Source organism: Homo sapiens, chromosome 3 (genome assembly GCF_000001405.40).
Source record: "Homo sapiens chromosome 3, GRCh38.p14 Primary Assembly".
Lineage (NCBI taxonomy): Eukaryota > Metazoa > Chordata > Mammalia > Primates > Hominidae > Homo > Homo sapiens.
Window position 1 is genome coordinate 7,776,340 of NC_000003.12, and position 13,959 is coordinate 7,790,298.

Consider the following 13,959-nt stretch of genomic DNA (forward strand, 5'->3'; position numbering starts at 1 on the left):
TTGCCTGAGGTCAGAGAGTAAGCAGTGGAATGCCTATGTCAACTCTGGAAATCAGCTTCCAAAGTAAAGTGCAGGTCCTCAACCATTATACTATCTCAGGTCTGGAAGAAGAAAGATTGGGAAGAGAAGGCGAGAGAGTCATGTATCCCAGAGAAGAGACACACTGTCAGACATGTGTAGCCAGCAGAAAAGGGCTTAATCAGACCAGTATTTAATGTACTTGCCAAGGATAAGCCATGCCATGAGATTTTCTGCTCAATGCACAGAAAACAAATAATATAATATTTGGACATAGTATCACTGACAATGAGTTTCTTGGAACACATAAAGCTCTGGATTTAACATCTTTTAAACATTTTCTCAACCTCTGAAAAATCAACAGAAGCCAATGCAGCAGAATTTGGGATTAAAACAAAATACGGCAGGACCCACTTGGGATACTAGGTAAGCACATATGTTTCAGTTAAGACTTTGTGCATTGAGGGTAGCCTACTTCGTTTCCCAAAGTGGCATTTCTTTTATATAGGTATTATATTTTATATATATATATATATATATATATCATATATCATATATCATATATACACACACATACACATTCTTTGAGACAGGATCTCACCCTGTCTCCCAGACTGGAGTGCAGTGGCGCGATCAAAGCTCACCGCAGCCTTAAACTCCTGGACTCAAGTAATCTTCCCGCCTCAACCTCCTAAGTAGCTCGGACTACAGGTGTGCACCACCACACCTGGCTTCCAAACTGGCATTTCTTAGCAACCCAATATGCATACTAGATGAAAACCTCCCATTAGCTCCCATTATAGACCCCACATGAGTAAATTCAATGTAAGCCACATGAATACAGAATTAGGAAGCTGAATCTGCCAGGGATGCCTAAATGAAAGCATTTATTGATTCAATAAGTATTTTCTGAGTGTCTGCTATCAGCCAGACACTGTTTTAGGCACTGGAAGTTTATCAGCAAACAAGCTAGAGACTATCCTTAATACCTTTATATCCTTATAGAGCAAGTCAGGAAAAAAAAACAAAATAATCTCAAATAATGAAAAGGAAGTAGAGAACTATATATATATGTGGTGATGCAATGAGGTGAGGCCTTTTGAAAAGATAGTTGTGGCCGGACGCAGTGGCTCACACCTGTAATCCCAGCACTTTGGGAGGCCAAGGCGGGTGGATCACCTGAGGTCAGGAGTTAGAGACCAGCTGGCCAACATGGTGAAACCCCATCTCTACTAAAAATACAAAAATTAGCCAGGCGTGGTGGCGGATGCCTGTAATTCCAGCTACTTGGGAGGCTGAGGCAGGAGAATCACTTGAAGCCAGGAGGCAGAGGTTGCAGTGAGCCGAAATCACACCATTGCACTCCAGCCTGAGCAACAGAGTGAGACTGTTTCAAAAAAAAAAAAAAAAAAGTGTGTATATCTATACATAGATATAAATACACACTTGTGTATGCATGCAGATGCATGTGTGAGTAATGTGTATGTGCAAATACATAACACATGATACATATGAATGGAACATTTTGTGAGCTGAATATACCTGTGTGCTTTTCTTACTTTCCCTCTTTCAACATAGGAACATGCACACAGCAATAGAAACTTATGTCTTGCTATATTCCATTCTCACAACTTAGTATGTATAAGAACTACCTTTACAGCATTTAAAAAATATAGCTCCCCAGGCCCCCTTCCTAGAAATTCTAATTTAGTAAATCTGGAGTAGAGCCCAGGAATCTGCAATTTAACCAGGGCTCCTAGTAATTTAGAAGCAGCTGCTCTCCAACAAATTAAGAAACAATGTTTTAACTTTCCTGGGGTTCCCCCACCCAATAACTACCGTCTGACTGTGTCTACTTTACATTCCCAATCTATACTATGTAGTCCTTTTTCCTAAAGATGGTCAAGTGAATGTGGACCGGGTGATAAGAAAAAATAGAAATGGATGCACAGAGGGGGAAATAAAAACTTCACGACAATATGTTAAATTCCCCAGCTGCTTATTCAAGTAAGAAACTGTTAACTTGCCTGCTGCCAACAGGACCATAATCCAGGGCGCAGGACTTCAAATATGTCATTGCTAAAAGCATTTTTTTTTTTTTTTGAGACAGAGTCTCGCTCTGTCACCCAGGCTGGAGTGCAGTGGCACAATCTTGGCTCACTGCAACCTCCGCCTCCAGGGTTCAAGTGATCCTCCTGCCTCAGCCTCTTGAGTAGCTGGGATTACAGGTGCACACCACAACACCTGGCTAATTTTTTGTATTTTTAGTAGAGACAGGGTTTCATTATGTTGGCCAGACTGGTATCGAACTCCTGACCTCGTGATCTGCCCACCTCAGACTCCCAAAGTGCTGGGATTACAGGCATGAGCCACCACGCCCAGCCTAAAACATCCTTTATGGTGTTTCTCAGCACTGGCCTCACATAGAAATATATATATATATATACATATATACATATATATATATATACACATATATATATATACACATATATACATATATACATATATATATACACACATATATACATATATACATATATATATGTATATATGTAAAGCATTCCTATATGACGGTGAAGTAATATAAAGATGGAAATTCCCTGAATTAAAATACCGAGCTAGAAAGTTTAAAAGCAACACAGAACACCTGCTTGAATGAGGTAATTAGCACCAGTTGCATGCAAGCATCCAGCTACTGAGGCGACTCAGGCCTCAGGGCTCAAATTCCCTCTTGGCAATCAGTTATTTCCTTGGGCACCAGTCAAGGCTCAGGTGCCCTGCGCAAAGCCTATGATAATAAAATCCACTTAGTTGGTAGTATGATAATTTCATTAACTTAACAACCACCATAAAACATAATTTACTTTTAAAAGTAAATATGCCAATGTGATGTGATTATCCTGCAGAGGCCAATTCTTGTTATTTGGTTTTAAAATGTCACTTTATTTTGTTCAGAGGAGAAAAAAATGTCACCACATTATAAGCCATTATATTACTACAATAAGATATGGTTCATACAATTAGCCAAATTCATCAGGGATTGTGTAGAAATACAGGAAACAAATTTTGGAGGCTGATGAACTTTAATTTGGATCCCATCTCCTTGATGTTTGTAATCTGGGGGCAAGTTTCTCTTTGCTTCTCTATGTCCTCGTTAGTAAAATGGCATAGTAATGCTGACTCCACAGGCTGATGTCAGAAATGACTCAGAGCAGAACTACCACTGCTATTGTGCCCCATAAGAATGCTAATAGTGGCGACAGTGATCACACCACCGTTGTTGTTCCACCATCATCGTCAAAGCTGGGAACCAGGGATGTGAAATCCTGTTGTACTTCTGACCTTTACTGTGATCTTTGGTCAAGTTATGATGTTGTCTAGATATTTGCCCCACCGAACCTCATGTTGAAATGTGATTCCCCAATGTTAAAGGTGGGACCTGGTGGGAAGTATTAAGGTCATGGCGGGTGGATCCTTCATAAATAGCTTGGTGCACTCCCCGTGGTAACGAGTGAGTTCTTGCTCTGTGGGTTCAGGTGACAGCTGGTTGTTTAAAGCAGCCCGGCACCTTCCACTCTCCTTTTTCCTTCCATTCTCACCATGTGACATGTCTGCTGTTCTCCAGCCTTCTGCTGTGACTGTATGCTTCCTGAGACCTCATCAGAAGCACATGCCAGCATCATGCTTCCTGGGTAGCCTGCAGAACCCTGAGCCAAGTAAACCACTTTTCTTTATAAATTATCCAGTCAGGTAATTTATAGCAATGCAAAACAAACTAACACAAGTTACTTTCCCTCTCTGGACATTATCTTTAAAAAGATGATGTCACCAGAGCACCTTCAGCAATCCTTCCTGCGCCATAAATATCTTCTATAATCAAGCAATCTATTAGAGATTCACTAAAATTTGCAGCACTTTCAAATTAACTTACTTTCCCTCTTTCTATGAGCAATGGCAAATAATCTGTATGGTTAAGAGATATTTTTCAGACGTTAAGACTTTTTTTTTCAAGAGAATAAGCACCTGCCAAACTATTTTCAGGAACAAATTCCCTCAGTCCTCTGAAGTTATTTGGAGTTTGACTGTAGCTGTCAAAATGGATAGACTTCAACACACCCGAGGACTTGATTTTCATCATAGGTTTTGACACGGACCTTAAAGCTGAGTAAAAACAAAGGCATCTTCTCAAAAAGATTAGGTGAGGTATAGTCCAAGAAAATTTAAAAGACACCCACCCACTACCACTAACAAGTAAAAGATGGAGTTAAAAACTGTTTAGCTACAACAAGGAAGAGAGCTTAAATTTCTTCCAAGCACAAACACTGATGCATTATTCCTAGGAAGTTTTTTTAACTAAAATTCTGAAAAAGAATACAATGTGTACAAGACAGTGAGTCTCAAAGTCTGCGCCTCTGACTAGCCATATCAGTATCATTTTAATAAATTTCTAGAAATGCAGAATCTCAGGCTCTCACCCCAGGGCAACTGCATCAGAATGGAAGTGAGAAGCCCAGGCATCTGTGTTGTGATGAGCCCTCCAGGACATCCTGAGGCATATTAAAGTTTGAGAAATGCTGATTTAAGTGACCAAAGTGTCCCTGAACGTGGCCCCTGTGCAATCAGGCAGAGTTTTATTACCGACAGTTCTTTTCCTGTGCATCCTCCTCCTCCCTTCTTTTGGTAGTCATGGCAAAATTTCTTTTGGCTAACCATCCTTCCTCCACTACAAACGATTTAGGAGAGTTTATCCATCAAAGCTCTGCCTTCATATGTAACCCAAGGCCTCTCTTCCTTTGGGAGTTTGAATTTTGAGCAGACACACAAGGGAACAAGAAGGCTGGGGTGGCTTCAACATCTGGATCCTAAATAGTATGTCTTTAATTCTTGCTTACTAATTCTTGAGAGCTTCCAGAATCCTGCCCTTTCCAAGCTGTAGTGATGATCCAGCTTTTCTGTCCATCATATGAGCTACCCAGTATCCTTCCATAATAAAGCCTTTCTGTTTCCTGAAAACTGCCAGTGTCAGTTGCTGCTCCTTAGAACCAAAGGATACTTACCAAAGATATTTTAATTGGACGAAAGGACCAAGTACCTGAACAGTGAAGGCTGTTGCTAAGCTGTCCAATAAGACCAATCTGCAGGAGGAACATCCATGCATTGACCAAAATAAACCCCACTGTGGCACAGAGGCCACAAGCAATTCTGAGCGACATGCACGGATGGAGGCCAAAGCAGCTGGTAGAGGGCTGAGCCCAGGAAAAGCACTGTGAGGAGGGCTCTTACGAGATCCCCCACTAGGCACTGGTGAGGGGATGGGGCTCCCCCAGTGGCATCACTAAGGTAAACTGAGATGTATCTATGTTAGATGTTTCCATGTTAGTCATTTAAGACTCATTTTAACTGCCCAGTGGGTTCACTTTGCCCACTGCCTAGACAGAGCTGATTTATCAACACAGGGGAATTGCAAGGGAGAAACAGTAATTCACACAGAACCGGCTGTGCAGGAGACCGGAGTTTTATTATTACTCAAATCAGTCTCCTGAGTATTTGGGCATCAGAGTTTTTAAAGACACATTGGTGGGTAGGGGCTTGGGAAGCAGAGAGTACTGACTGATCAGGCTGGAGATGGAATCATAGAGGGGGTCAAAGTGAGTTTTTCTTGCTATCTTCTGTTTCTGGGTGGGATGGCATAAATGATTGAGCCAGATTACTGGTCTGGGTGGTGTCAGCTGATCCATTGAGTGCAGGGTCTGCAAACTATCTCAAGCACTGATCTTAGGTTTTACAATAGTGATGTTATCTCTAGGAGAAATTTGGGAAGGTTCAGACACTTGGAGCCAGAGGCTCCATGACCCCTAAACTGTAATTTCTAATCTTGTAGCTAATTTGTTAGTCCTGCAAAGGCAGACACGTCCCCAGGCAAGAAGGGGGTCTTTTCAGGAAAGGACTCTTACCAATTTTCTTTCAGAGTCAAACCATAAACTGATTTCCTTCCCAAAGTTAGTTCGGCCTATGTCCGGTAATAAACAAGGACAGTTTAAGGTTAGAAGCAAAATGGAGTTGGTTAGGTCTGATTTCTTTCACTGTCATAACTTTGTCAGTTATAATTTTGCAAAGGTGGTTTCAATATTATGTGGCCTGTTGCTGGATACCCAGTCCAAACTGAATGAAATGATGAAGGATGTTATTTGTTCACATAACCAAAACCATGAAGCCCAGAGGCTGGGCAGGATTCAGGTTGATCTGAGGTTTCTGATGGTTTAGGAATCATGGCTCCATCTCCCTAACATTCTTTTGGTGCTTTCCTCCCCACTTCTCAGTCTGGGCTCTCTCAGCAGCTCCTGGGGCTAAACCCTTTGATATGCACATACATGGGAAGAGAGAATGTTTCTCTACTCTCCTCAAACAGAACTTCACCCTGAAGCGTCAAGAGCTGACTCTATTGAGATAATCATGTGGTTTTTGTCTTTGGCTCTGTTTATATGCTGGATTAGCATTATTGATTTGCGTATGATGAACCAGCCTTGCATCCCAGGAATGAAGCCCACTTGATCATGGTGGATAAGCTTTTTGATGTGCTGCTGGATTTGGTTTCACAGTATTTTATTGAGGATTTTTGCATCGATGTTCATCAGGGATATTGGTCTAAAATTCTCTTTTGTTGTGTCTCTGTCAGGCTTTGGTATCAGGATGATGCTGGCCTCATAAAATGAGTTAGGGAGGATTCCCTCTTTTTCTGTTGATTGGAATAGTTTCAGAAGAAGTGGGACCAGCTCCTCCTTGTACCTCTGGTAGAATTTGGCTGTGAATCTGTCTGGTCCTGACTTTTTTTGGTTGGTAAGCTATTAATTATTGCCTCAATTTCAGAGCCTGTTATTGGTCTATTCAGAGATTCAAATTCTTCCTGGTTTAGTCTTGGGAGGGTGTATGTGTCGAGGAATTTATCCATTTCTTCTAGATTTTCTAGTTTATTTGCATAGAGGTATTTATAATATTCTCTGATGGTAGTTTGTATTTCTGTGGGATCAGTGGTGATATAACCTTTATCATTTTTTATTGCATCTATTTGATTCTTCTGTCTTTTCTTCTTTATTAGTCTTGAAGGCCTTTGACAAAATTCAACAACCCTTCATGCTGAAAACTCTTAATAAATTACGTATTGATGGGACGTATCTCAAAATAATAAGAGCTATCTATAACAAACCCACAGCCAATATCATACTGAATGGGCAAAAACTGGAAGCATTCCCTTTGAAAACTGGCACAAGACAGGGATGCCCTCTCTCACCACTCCTATTCAACACAGTGTTGGAAGTTCTGGCCAGGGCAATTAGGCAGGAGAAGGAAATAAAGGGTATGCAATTAGGAAAAGAGGAAGTCAAATTGTCCCTGTTTGCAGACGACATGATTGTATATCTAGAAAACCCCATCATCTCAGCCCAAAATCTCCTTAAGCTGATAAGCAACTTCAGCAAAGTCTCAGAATACAAAATCAATGTGCAAAAATCACAAGCATTCTTATACACCAATAACAGACACACAGAGAGCCAAATCATGAGTGAATTCCCATTCACAATTGCTTCAAAGAGAATAAAATACCTAGGAATCCAACTTACAAGGGATGTGAAGGACCTCTTCAAGGAGAACTACAAGCCACTGCTCAATGAAATAAAAGAGGTTACAAGTAGAACAACATTCCATGCTCATGGGTAGGAAGAATCAATACCGTGAAAACGGCCATACGGCCCAAGGTAATTTATAGATTCAATGCCATCCCCATAAAGCCACCAATGACTTTCTTCACAGAATTGGAAAAAAACTACTTTAAAGTTCACATGGAACCAAAAAAGAGCCCGCATTGCCAAGTCAATCCTAAGCCAAAAGAACAAAGCTGGAGGCATCACGCTACCTGACTTCAAACTATACAACAAGGCTACAGTAACCAAAACAGCATGGTACTGGGACCAAAACAGAGATATAGACCAATGGAACAGAACAGAGCCCTCAGAAATAATGCCAAATATCTACAACTATCTGATCTTTGACAAACCTGACAAAAACAAGAAATGGGAAAAGGATTCCCTATTTAATAAATGGTGCTAGGAAAACTGGCTAGTCATATGTAGAACGCTGAAACTGGATCCCTTACTTACACCTTATACAAAAATTAATTCAATATGGATTAAAGACTTAAATGTTAGACCTAAAACCATAAAAACCCTAGAAGAAAACCTAGGCAATACCATTCAGGACATAGGCATGGGCAAGGACTTCATGTCTAAAACACCAAAAGCAATGGCAACAGAAGACAAAATTGACAAATGGGATCTAATTAAATGAAAGAGCTTCTGCACAGCAAAAGAAACTACCATCAGAGTGAACAGGCAACCTAGAGAATGGGAGAAAATTTTTGCAATCTACTCATCTGACAAAGGGCTAATATCCAGAATCTACAATGAACTCAAACAAATTTACAAGAAAAAAACAAACAACCCCATCAAAAAGTGGGCAAAGGATATGAACAGGCACTTCTCAAAAGAAGACATTTATGCAGCCAAAGGACACATGAAAAAATGCTCATCATCACTGGCCATCAGAGAAATGCAAATCAAAACCACAATGAGATACCATCTCACACCAGTTAGAATGGTGATCATTAAACAGTCAGGAAACAACAGGTGCTGGAGAGGATGTGGGGAAATAGGAACACTTTGACACTGTTGGTGGGACTGTAAACTAGTTCAACCATTGTGGAAGTCAGTGTGGCGATTCCTGAGGGATCTAGAACTAGAAATACCATTTGACCCAGCCATCCCATTACTGGGTATATACCCAAAGGATTATAAATCATGCTGCTATAAAGACACATGCACATGTTATGTTTATTGCGGCACTATTCACAATAGCAAAGACTTGGAACCAACCCAAATGTCCAACAATGATAGACTGCATTAAGAAAATGTGGCATACATACACCGTGGCATACTATGCAGCCATAAAGAAGGATGAGTTCATGTCCTTTGTAGGGACATGGATGAAGCTGGAAATCATCATTCTCAGCAAACTATCGCAAGGACAAAAAACCAAACACCGCATGTTCTCACTCATAGGTGGGAATTGAACAATGAGAACACACGGGCACAGGAAGGGGAACATCACACATGGGGGCCTGTTGTGGGGTGGGGGGAGGGGCTAGGGATAGCCTTAGGAGATATACCTCATGTTAAATGATGAGTTAATTGGTGCAACACACCAACATGGCACATGTATACATACGTACCAAAACTGCAGGTGTGCACATGTACCCTAAAACTTAAAGTCTAATAATAAAAAAAAAGAGCTGACTCTAAATTAGTAACAATGGAAAGGTCACAGGATCAATCCCACCCAAGTAGGGAAAACACGAGTGAAGGCTGAGGGGCAGCCACTTGTTCCATGCACACAGGTTGAGGGACTTAGTCTGCATAAAATTTTAAATAAGATTGTATACAAGAAGGTTGTTCAACCCATGGCCCACAGGCCATATGCAGCCTGGGACAGCTTTGAATGTGGCCTAACACAAATTCGTAAACTTTCTTAAAACAATATGAGATTTCTTGACCAGTTTTTTTTTTTTTTTTTTTTAGCTCATCAGCTACTGTTAATGTATTTTATGTATGGCCCAAGACAATTCTTCTTCCAGCGTGGCCCAGGAAAGCCAAAAGATTGGACATCCTTAATATAGGCAAATAATCTGGTGGGCAGGAATGAACAGATGAATATAGTACTGGGGTAACTGATGGCGGAGGTGATTGGTAATGTTGAAGACTCTCTAAGCCACATACTGGAGGGGACACCAATGAACTAGAGGAGAGGCTAGCAAACATCTTCCACAAAGGGCCAGATAGTAAATGTTTTAGGTTTTGTGGCTAATATGGTCTCTGTCACCTCTCTTCAACTTCTATTGTAGCATAAAAGTAGCCACACACAATATGTAAATGAGCAGGCACAGCTGTGTTCCAAGAACAATTTACCAAAAACACAGGGTGAGCTGGATTTGGCATATCGGCAGTCCTCTGTCAACCCCTGAACTTGAACACCAAAACTTGTGATTTGCAGTAATGAGTAAGGGTGGGTAGCAGAAGCAGCGTAAGCCAGCCCCCTCCCCTGCCACTTCTAATGGGTATCCGGAGTTCTTCGGCCTTTGCCCTAATGTATTCATGGAAGACCTCCACTGCAAATGACCACCTCTGATTTTGTTTGCCTCAGCATCTGCCATCCTGCAACTGCTCAGAAGTCTGCTAGCAAAGCCTCATCTTTGTTAACCTTGGTGAATCGAGCCTCCTCTAGTTCATGTTGTGCTACACCAACACTGAATACAAGGAGCAAACACCGTGTTCAACCTGGGCGCTTCTTGTGCTTGGCCATTGCCCTGAGGACACCCTTTAGCCACCACCCCATGCCTCCTCTCTCTAGCTGTCATCCTGAATGGGCACTTCCATGTCTCTCCCCCACCATCACCTCCAACTAACACATCACAAACCAAACTCTTCTATTGTCCTACCAAACCTACTCCTACCCTGCTTCCTGTTTTTCTGTGCTCTTGCCATGGTTCTATGTCCTTTTGGCTCTTGGCCTCCTTCCTATGGCTCCCCACTTTCAATCAGCCATCTGGTCCTGTTGATTTTTCCCTTATAATTCCACTTGTAATTACCCCCTTCCTTCCAGTCACTGCTATCCCTCTAATTCTGGCCTGTAATGACTCCACACCTTGCTATTATAATCATCCTCCTTGCAGTTCTCATTACTTTCAGTTTCCCTCTTCTAATTTATCCTCCTTCCATTCCTCTGGGCACCATACCTCTTAAGAAGCCACACTAATAGAGTATTTTCACCATGCTGTGTCCTCTTCTTGTTGATTTTAGGGAAAGCTATAGGATCAAGACTCCCTAGTCACATTCTAAGTCCCCTAAAACACTTGTCTTGGCCTCTGGCTGTAGAGTTCAGGCCTCAGTGGCGCATCCTTGTCCCTTTCCTTTGATTCTGGACTTTGCAAGTCACAGACTCAAATGAGTTTTTTTGATTCTGTTTCTCATTGATTAATTAAGCTTCACTTTTAACTTCAGAATCGTTCTCCTTTAACTTCCAGTCTCCTCTGGAGTGTCAGAACACGTGGGTCTCAAAAACTCTTCTTCTGCAGTCTTATGCCAGTCAATTACTAGATCGTGTCAGTCATAAAATTTAAAAACCACGTATCTATCCCTACCCTCATTTTGCTTTTGCAAGACATCAGCACTCCCTGGATTACCTTAATGGCCTCCTAGTTCCTTCCTTGTTCTTGCTCTGTATTCCATTTTCTCATTATACCCAGAGTGATGTTCAAACGAAAATGTGATCAAGCCACATCCCTGGTTAAACCTTACTGTGGCTTTCCATTACTCTTCACAATGGCTCTCAACTCTGGATCAATATTAGAATGACCTGGGATATTAAAAAATATGATACCCCATCTCCACTCCACTCTAACTCCCAAATCTCCAGGAAGAAGATCTGCCCACAGGATTCCTTTTTAAGCTCTTATTCAGATTTTTCCAGTTGTATTTGTCCTAACGTGTATGTGTGCATGTGTGTTTCATGATCTAGAATGTTTTCATCTGAGTAGGTTTGTGTACCCACCACCACAGCTAAGATTCTTATCAGCTCCAACACCTCAATAATCCTGTTGCCTTCTTAGATGAGTCATTGTCAGGAGTTAGCAGCTGGAGGTGTGGGCACTTGCACTGCAGGAAGTCAGTCCTTTGCATTTCTAACAAATATTCCAGGAGATTCTGCCACTCACCAAAGGTAGAGAGCAACTCACCTAGCATTTCTCATTTACCTTCCAATACTGTTTGCTAAGGTTTAAGTCACTTTCAGACTCTGATTTATTTTCCTATTGCAATCCCACAGCAGCCTCACTTTTTAAAAACACTCTGTATACCTATAATGCTTTGCCTAGCCTCTGTCTTTCCTGAATAAGCGATTGCAAGCAGTATCCCCAATGCTTAGCACCGTGTCTGATATACAGGCACTCAGTAAGTTTTTTTCCCTGTAAGTGCTAACTAGTGGCTGCTACCATGAACACATAAACACACAAACACACACACACACAGTTTCAAAAACTTCATATTAGTCTAGTTTTACCAATGACGTAGTTAAGTTACCTGTTCCAAACTCAAATACCCTTCAAAGAGAAGCAAGAGGTAAATCCTGGATGTCTGAATCCAAAGCACCCAATGTCAACTACTATGCAATACTGCACTCTGGCTGTAAGCAGCCAATGGCAATGTGCTCTTGTCAAGCCTCTCAATTCACATGCTAGCCTGATTTTGAGATTTTGTCAGCACTCTTATTCTGTACCCTGAAACATTTTCTGTCTTGAAGAGTTTACATAACTGCTCATAGTTCTTATAGCATATTCCATATGCTTCCCCCCCCACACACACGTGCATTTTACACACACCATATATTTATATGAATGCATATGTGTATTTGTGTAAGCGTGATCTTGTGTATGTGTGTGTGTTTAACCTGAGAAATGAATATACTGAAACTATGGAGTCTGGCATACACATTTCCATATCACTTATCTTTTAAAATATTTTATGACTCAGCTTGTAAACACTTTCCATGGCTCACCTCCTTTATAGCATAAATAATCTTCCCTGCTCTAACCATAGTCATGCACCTTCCCTTCCCTTTGTAGTTCAAGTTGCTGAAATGGTAGGGTGCTTCCTGCAGATCTTGCACTGGGCTGATTTAATAGGTTTTTTGAGATGCAAATAGCAGAGGTGGGATCTGAACAAAACAAAGTGCCACAAAGTACAGCTTTCTCTGCCTTCGATTTCAAACTGGATTTAAAGGGGAGGATCTGTCTCTCCTGAAACTCTGTATTTCCACAAACTCGTACCTCAGTTGAAGTTTGATGCTGTGATGACTATTATGTTCTTTCATTGGTTTCCTCTACTACTATGGAGGCAAGAAGAACATGATAAAATGATACATGATAAAAAATCCAGTGGTTCTCAAACTTCAGTGGGCATCAGCATTACCTAGACGGCTGATGGAAATGCAAGCTCTGGGCCTCACTTCCGGAGTGGGAGTGTCTGTTTCAGCGGGTCTGGGCTGGGATCTGAGTATTTCCCTTTCTAACAACCTCCCCGGTGACCCTGATGCTGTTGGTCCATGTTCCACGCTTTGAGAACCACTGTTCTAATCAGGGAGCCGACTGGTTCTCCACAACTTAACTTCAAATACATTGCTTGCCAAGTATCGGTCCCATATTGAGCTTCCATAATTCTATGTGTTGTTAAAAATAAGGTTTGAGACAATCTTAAGTTAGGAAATTTCTCACTGTGACTCAAATTTTCAGCTTCTGTTTTGGAAAAAAATAAATAAATCTGGCAAGATTAGTCCTTCCTTCCTCATGGCACCAATGGGATGAGGTGATCAACATACCTTTTAGAGCTGTGCTTCTGCATTTTAGCTTCCCATTTGAAGTTTCTGAGCAGCTTTTAAAAATTGCGATGCCTAGGGTACATCTCAGCCCAATTCTAATAGACCCTGGAGGTGGTACCTCTCCTATAAATGGCAGGCAGAGAACTCTATCTCCTAGAGTCACTGTGAGGAATAAATGATATAATAGGAGCAATAGACAGCACTTCCATTATTTATTGATCACTTACTTTGTGTCAGGTACTGGGTTAAGTGACTTAAAAACATTATATTTAATGCTCACTAGAAAACAGCATTGACTAGGCATTAATGACCACAGGAAGAATTAATGCAGTTAATCTAGTGCATAGAAAACAGGAAATGTATTTGGGGTACTTAGTAAAAGGAAATAAATTTAATTAATCTAAAGCCTGACTCTACCACTGACCATTGTGCCATTGTGTCTGGAGTCTGTTGCTTCTGGTG

At 41.2% G+C, this 13,959-nt stretch overlaps 2 annotated features.

The window, feature by feature from the left end:
* Positions 11,604-12,354: an enhancer, noted in NCBI's record as "H3K27ac hESC enhancer chr3:7829630-7830380 (GRCh37/hg19 assembly coordinates)". NCBI's record gives its function as "activates a minimal SCP1, AML or CMV promoter by ChIP-STARR-seq in primed H9 embryonic stem cells {active_cell/tissue: H9 hESC(primed)}" and the evidence as "EXISTENCE:reporter gene assay evidence [ECO:0000049][PMID:30033119]".
* Positions 12,355-13,103: an enhancer, noted in NCBI's record as "OCT4-NANOG-H3K27ac hESC enhancer chr3:7830381-7831129 (GRCh37/hg19 assembly coordinates)". NCBI's record gives its function as "activates a minimal SCP1, AML or CMV promoter by ChIP-STARR-seq in primed H9 embryonic stem cells {active_cell/tissue: H9 hESC(primed)}" and the evidence as "EXISTENCE:reporter gene assay evidence [ECO:0000049][PMID:30033119]".